General features: G+C 54.4%; 1 protein-coding gene across 2 annotated transcripts in view, besides 3 other annotated features; it reads right to left on the bottom strand.

Moving 5' to 3' along the window:
- Nucleotides 1-3630, bottom strand: part of PPM1F (protein phosphatase, Mg2+/Mn2+ dependent 1F) — a 33424-nt gene extending 29794 nt beyond the window's left edge. For both annotated transcript variants that reach the window (NM_001410836.1, NM_014634.4), the window contains exon 1: nt 3574-3630. The gene's annotated coding sequence lies outside the window, so the exon portion shown is untranslated. The remainder of the gene's footprint in view (nt 1-3573) is intronic.
- Nucleotides 2783-2852: an enhancer, noted in NCBI's record as "active region_18712". NCBI's record gives its function as "activates an Ori minimal core promoter by ATAC-STARR-seq in GM12878 lymphoblastoid cells {active_cell/tissue: GM12878}" and the evidence as "EXISTENCE:reporter gene assay evidence [ECO:0000049][PMID:35858748]".
- Nucleotides 2899-3419: an enhancer, noted in NCBI's record as "H3K4me1 hESC enhancer chr22:22306489-22307009 (GRCh37/hg19 assembly coordinates)". NCBI's record gives its function as "activates a minimal SCP1, AML or CMV promoter by ChIP-STARR-seq in primed H9 embryonic stem cells {active_cell/tissue: H9 hESC(primed)}" and the evidence as "EXISTENCE:reporter gene assay evidence [ECO:0000049][PMID:30033119]".
- Nucleotides 3413-3822: a silencer, noted in NCBI's record as "silent region_13519". NCBI's record gives its function as "represses an Ori minimal core promoter by ATAC-STARR-seq in GM12878 lymphoblastoid cells {active_cell/tissue: GM12878}" and the evidence as "EXISTENCE:reporter gene assay evidence [ECO:0000049][PMID:35858748]".

A 6758-nucleotide genomic window follows, 5' to 3' on the forward strand; every position in this document is an offset into this window, starting at 1 on the left:
CCTGCTCTTGTTACAAAGGCAGGGTGCCCAGGGCCATCTTACTTGCTGGGGACCAAGCACCCTTGTTTCTGCATCACCAACCTAAGGCAAGGGGTGAGGAGAGAAACCAGGACACAGCTTTCTCTCCCTGGAGCCCAGATGTCGAAAGGGACAGGAATCATTTCCTTCCTTTTCCCAATAAGCTCCTGAATCTGACGTACACCATGGCACACCCGGCAGGAAGGAGAAATTCCTCACCAAGGGAAACCAGAGGCAGCCCTGGGAGTGCCTGGAGGGGCAGGGGACAGTGCTGTGGTTCTTTGAGGGATCAACTGGAAGAGACAGCATCAGGAATGGCATGGAGGCCAGCGGCAAGCCGCAGGGAGTAGGGAGAGCTGGGAGAGCACCAGAGGCAGCGGAGCCTGGTGCTGGGCTTTCCTGAGCAGGGCACACCAGTGAAAAACTCCGAATAAGAGGGACGTGTGCATGAGCCTGTGCAAATCACCAAGAGCCCGGGGTGGGCATGGGAGGGACATTGGACTCCTGCATCCCAGCACCGCCTGCCTGGACCAGTCTGACCAAATGCGACTGGCAGCTGGTTCCTCCTGGATCAGGGCCCCACTGCACACCAAATGGGTGCTCACCCTCCTAGAACCTATTTAAGGTCCCACATAGGTGAGAAATGGCAAAGCAAACTCATCGGGGGGCAGCTGCAGGGGTGTGGCTGACGGTGCTGCCAGCTGCCATCCGCCCCTGCTCTGAGCACTCTTCCTGGGATGGCTTTTAGCCTCCCAACAACCTCTTGTGGTTATCCCCACTTCACAGGGCAGGCTGTAGCAGAAGAGCTAAGGAACTTGCCCAAAGTCCCAGGGTGGGGTTCATGCTGGGGAACCTGGGCCTTAACTGTGATGACACCTGGGAAGTCATTCTGACTCCTTCTATCCCTGACCTGTCCCTCATTGGCCACCAGCTCTGGGCTTTGGCTCTCTCATGGCTCCTCCTTCCATTTCTGTGTACCCCCCACCCTAGGGCAGCCCCTCCCCTCCTTGTTTTGTGGTGCCCTCCTTCCATTTTGCCTCCCGAGATCTCTCAGATCCTTTGAGGCTTTGCTGAAATCTCCCCATCTTTGGATCCAGCATGCTCTCTTTCATGTCTCTATGGCACTTTTGCTCACATCTGACTTGTAAAAAGTTTTTTTTTTTTTAATTTAAAATATTTATTTTCCTCTAGTGCATTAGTTTTGACTCCTAAGCTTAACGAATGCAGGGTTTAACAACTGCAGTTTTTTAGGGGACATAGAAAAAATACTTGTTGAGTCTTGCTTAACTGCAGAACCAAGGTAATGAAAAAAACCCAGCAATCCTTAGAAAAGGGAACTGCACCACTATAGTGTAACAAAAGCATCATTCATGTTAACTGTTTTTTTTTGTTTTTGTTTTTTTTGAGACAGAGTCTTGCTCTGTCACCCAGGCCGGAGTGCAGTGGCGCAATCTTGGCTCACGGCAACCTCCGCCTCTCAGGTTCAAGTGATTCTCCTGCCTAAGCCTCCCTAGTAGCTGGGATTACAGGCACCCACAACCACGCCTGGCTAATTTTTTTGTATTTTTAGTAGAGATGGGGTTTCACCATGTTGGCCAGGCTGGTCTCGAACTCCTGACCTCAGGTGATCTGCCCGCCTCAGCCTCCCAAAGTGCTGTGATTACAGGTATGAGACACCACGCCTGGCCAACCTTTTTCTACCAAAAGAGATTCTTATTTCTTTATTCATAACTACTAATACTAATAATAGTTAGATGTAAATCCTAGATTTTTTTTCTACATATATAAATTTTTTTTATTGTTGTAAAATATACACACTATGTATCCTTTTAACCATTTCTAAGCGTACAGTTCCATGGCATTAAGCATAGTCACATTGCTGTGCAATGACCATTTCTTTCTACAGGCCTGACTTTCTTGATAGACTGTAAGCTCCCTGTAGTCAGGGAGCCCACGATGGCCCTTTGTGTACAGCAGGTGGTAAGTGTGATGGCAGAGGGAAGAGTGACTGGCGGGTGGCATGGGCTGAGGAAGCTACACCACTCTGAAGGGTGCAGTGGGCAGCAGCGCCAGGTCTTAAAAGACTCGGTTGGCTTCAGGTCAGATGGTATCCTTTTTTTTTTTTTTTTTTTTTTTGAGAGGGAGTTTCGCTCTTGTTGCCCAGGCTGGAGTGCAATGGTGGGATCTCAGCTCACTGCAACCTTCGCCTCCCAGGTTCAAGCAATTCTCCTGCCTCAGCCTCCTGAGTAGCTAGGATTACAGGCACCTGCCACCACGCGCGGCTAATTTTTGTATTTTTAGTAGAGATGGGATTTTGCCATGCTGGTCTGGAACTCTTGACCTCAGGTGATATGCCTGCCTCGGCCTCCCAAAGTGCTGGGATTACAGGTATGAGCCACCGCGCCCGGCCTTCAGGGGGTATCTTAAAGGAATTCCACAAATGAACTTGTGTAGAGGTTCATGGCTTTCAGAAATGCATTCGTTTTGTTTACCTCTCACAACTACGCTGAGAAGTACATACTGTCAGGCTACACTGCAGATGAAGAAATAGGTTATAGGAGGGCAAGCACCCATTTAAGGTCTCACACAGGTGAAAGGGCAAAGCGAACTCAATCAAGGTCTCTGGATGCCCAATGCCTTTGGTATTTCCACCTCGCGTGCAGGAGGAAAAGAGCGAAATTTGACAACAGAAGAGACTGGAGATGGCCTCAGAGTGCTGGCCGGCCCCACTTTCTATCCCCCGTGGTGAGAGCTCAGCTGGGCCCAGAGAACTTGTCCCGGGGAATGCCACCACGACATGTGTGACTCTGTCCCGCAGGGTGGAAGGCTTCGAAGGAGCCCGCCACCATGCAGTGGGCCTCACTGTGTGTCAAGCGCTGTGCCGAAATCCCTGCAGCCGGAGCCAGTTCTTCCTGTTGTACAGACAGGTTCAGGGGCTTGCCTGACCGAACCCAGCGGCAATGTGCCCGGCCTCCGCGCCTGAGGCTCTGGCTCACAGACCTGTGGCTGAAGCAGCTGCAGCCCGAGCACTTGTGCAGCTGACGCTCGCTTCACGGACGCTTGGGAGGCCGCGGAGCCGGGGGCCATCAGGCAGACTGGGCCCCTGAAGGTGCAGGGACTGGGGGGATATGGGGCAACGTGCCGGCCCAGAGGCTCCTGGGGGGTGGGGAGAGGCCAAATCTCGGAAAATGGGGCGCGTCCCCCTCAGCACCCGATTCTGCCTCATAGCCCTCGGTCCCTACCAGGCCCTCGGCTCGGCCACACCCCCGCCTGCCCCCCAGTTCTGCCCCCTTGGCTCCCCAGCCCCCCAACTCCCAGCCTCGGGTTCCTCATGTCCGCAGCGGCCCCTCTTGCTCCTCGGCCCCCCGCACTGCACCCCCGCACCCTTTCGGTGCACCCATGTGAGCCTCGTCTCGGCCTCCTTGCCTCCCCAGCCCTCTGATTCCACCCCTCCGGTTCCTCGGTCCCATTTCACCCCTGTGCGCCTTGGGCGCTCGCCTGACCCTCGTCCCAGCCCCGTCAGCCCTCTAATCCCGTCCCCCCCGGCCTCCTCACCCCTGGTCTCCGCGGGCCTCAGCTGTCTCCTCGCGGCTCCGTGTCCCGCAAGCTGCTGCCGGCCGGCCCCGCCCACTTCCCGTCCCTGGCCGCCGCGGGCGCCGCGGGCGCCGCGCAGGCGCAGTCGGGCCTCCAGGCTGGCGGGGCCGGACCTCTGCTGCCCCCTGGCGGCTACGTGGACGGTGACTGCGGCCCTTTAGTGGTAGGCGAACTGCGGCTCCACCTGGGCTCCGGAGCCGCCCCAGTCACCAGCCTCTTGCTTCTCTTCTGCAGCTTTGGGTGGGCGGCTGGATGGGGAAAGCAATCCCTAGGTCACAGCGCCCAGAAATTAAGCAACTTCTGCCGTCAATAGCTGGTAAGTGACAGAGCAGGGATGCAAACCCAGACTGCCCAGGCAGGCTCATCCGTCCGGGAAGGAGGCACAGTCCCAGGCTCATTATGAGTTGTTTGTTTCCACAAACGTTGAGGCTTTTGTTATCTTTCCGTTCTGGAGGTCAGAAGTCCACTTAGCCTCAGTGGGCGAAGATCCAGGGATCGCCAGAATGCGTTCCTTTCTGAGGATTCTAGGGGAGAAACTGTTCCCCTGCCTTTTCCAGCTCCTAAGGGCTCCCTGCATACCTTGGCTCGTGGCCCCTTCCTACAGCCTCGAAGCCAGCAATGGCCAGTTGAGCCTTTCTCACACTGCCACCTCTGGTTCCCTCCTCTGCTTCCTTCTGCTACTTCTAAAGACCCTCCTGATGCCATTGGGCCCACCCAGATAGTCCAGCATCATCTCTCTAAATCAGTTGATTAGCAACCTTAATTCCCCTTTGCCCCTTATTATTATTATTATTTTTTTTTGACACGGAGTCTCACCCTGTCACCCAGGCTGTACTGCAGTGGCATGACCTCGACTCACTGCAACCTCTGCCTCCCTGGTTCAAGCGATTTTCCTGCCTCAGCCTCCCGAGTAGCTGGGACTGCAGGCACGCACCACCATGCCCGGCTAATTTTTTTTGTATTTTTAGTAGAGATGGGGTTTCACCATGTTGGTCAGGCTGGTCTCAAACTCCTGACCTCAAATGATCTGCCTGCCTCGGCCTCCCAAAGTGCTGGGATTACAGTACAGGCGTGAGCCACTATGCCGGGTCTGCCATGTAATCTAACACAGGCACAGGTATAGGACATGAACATCTCTGAAGGGCCATTTTTCTGCCAACACAGAGGCTCTTGAAAATATTCTTTTTCTCTCTTTTTAGAGACAAGCTCCTTCTCTGGTGCCCACACTGGAGTGCAGTGGCATGATCACAGCTCACTGCAGCCTCAAACTCCTGGGCTCAAGTGACCCTCCCCTCCTGCCTCAGCCTTCCTAGTGTCTGGGAACACAGGCAAGCACCACCACGCCCAGCTGATTAAAAAAAATTTGTAGAGACAGGGTCTCTATGTTGCCCAGGCTGGTCTTGAACTCTTGGGCTCAAGTGATCCTCCTGCCTCAGCCTTCCCAAGTGCTGGGATTATAGGTGTGAACCATTACACCTGGCCAAAATATTTTATTTTAAAGGCAGAAGAAAGAAACCTTTATGTCAAAGAAAATGTTTTAATATATGATATTAATATATTCACCTTTATACCAATGCCGTTGGAAAGTATAATTTTTTAAATGGAGGATGGGGCACCAGATCTTATGTGGCTCTGCCCACCTGACCTTCAGGTCCGCAGGCCTGTGTCCTTGCCAGGAATGAATGTCTCTGGGATGCTTCTCTAACAGGAGGAACCTGGAGTGAGACCAGGAACCTGGAGAACTAGCAGCTGGGTGACTGGAAAGGAAACCATCTGGGGTGGGGTTGGGTCTGCAAGGCAGGAGGTGTCTGGGCAGAGAAAGCAGGGCTGGGGCGGAGGGTCCTGCCTCATCCCATTCTCCTGCTCACTCTTTCCTAGATCCCTGTCAGGGCAGTAACCATGAGCAAGGCTTGAGGCTACTTCTTATAAACAGTGGCCCTGGGCACATTCCTTAGCTCACCTGAGCCTCAGTTTCTTGATGAGAAAAAATCGGGACAATAGCAACCAACCTATCTCAGAGGGCTGCTGTGAGACCCTGAGCCACTGTTTCTCAAACTGCCCCTGAGATCACCTACAACAGAATGGCTGTAGGGTGAAGTTTGAGAACCGCAGTACAGGTGAGGTGGTGCGTGGGGCAGGCCCTCCCACACTGTAAAGTGCAGTGTGGTGCGGTAAAAGCTGATATTCCCGCAGGCATCCTCAGAGTGGGCCCAATTAGACTCTTGAGCACTGATTCCATTCAAGGTCTGCGGCTTAGAGAGGATGGCAAAGTGAGGCACCACCAGGAGCTTGTCCCTATGGGCTCCAGGCCAAGGACGTGCCTGGAGATGACTCCTGCCTTGTGGCGCTGTCACTGCCTCACTGTCCACATTCCATCACGCCTCAGATCCTGGCTTCCACCCTGGTGAAAGGAATCTTTCAATATCACCCACCCAGCCACAGACGCTTCTCTGCTTCTCTGGCAAGGCTGCACCCCTGGCTAGGTGGGCAGGGCCAGGGGCTCCTTGAGACAGTCTGCAGCCACTGACCTCTCCAGCCTCCAGGGCAGAGGTACAGTCCCATGGAGCGTGGCTGATCTGAAGGCAGTTCTGGCCTAAAAGGGGTCTTGTCCCTTCCTTGTCCTCATTGCTCCCAAGGCCAGGTTGGCAGCAGTAGCAGCGGGGTTGGATGCTATTGGATGGGAGAAGGTGAATGGACTCGGAGTGCAGAATCAAGCTGCGGAAGCCAAGGGCCTTGAAGGAGGGTCACACACAAGGGACAACTGCAGAGGAAAATAAAGGAACACTTTGTGATTAGCCCTGCCTGTGGCTGAAAGCGCAGTGCAGAAGCATAGTAAGGAAGGACTGGGTGGTCTGGGTTTAAGACCTAGGAACCGTCTCTGCTCCTCCAAGCCTGAATGAGCCCTATAACCTAAGGGTCCTGGAGGTCTTGAAACCTTCTGCGGAGAAGGCTCCAGGTCCACTGGGCCCTGTGGGTGGAAGAGCAGAGTCACAGCCCCGCACTGGGGACCTAACAGGTGTGGCCTTGCTAGGGCCCCAGAATGGGACCAGAGTGGGTGGGAGGGGGCAGAAGCTCTGAGAGCACCCCCTCCTTCCTGAAGCCTGTGCTTCTGAGACACATCCCAGGACCCTCTATGTGGTTCCCCA

The sequence above is a fragment of the Homo sapiens genome, chromosome 22, assembly GCF_000001405.40.
Source record: "Homo sapiens chromosome 22, GRCh38.p14 Primary Assembly".
NCBI classification, from domain to species: domain Eukaryota; kingdom Metazoa; phylum Chordata; class Mammalia; order Primates; family Hominidae; genus Homo; species Homo sapiens.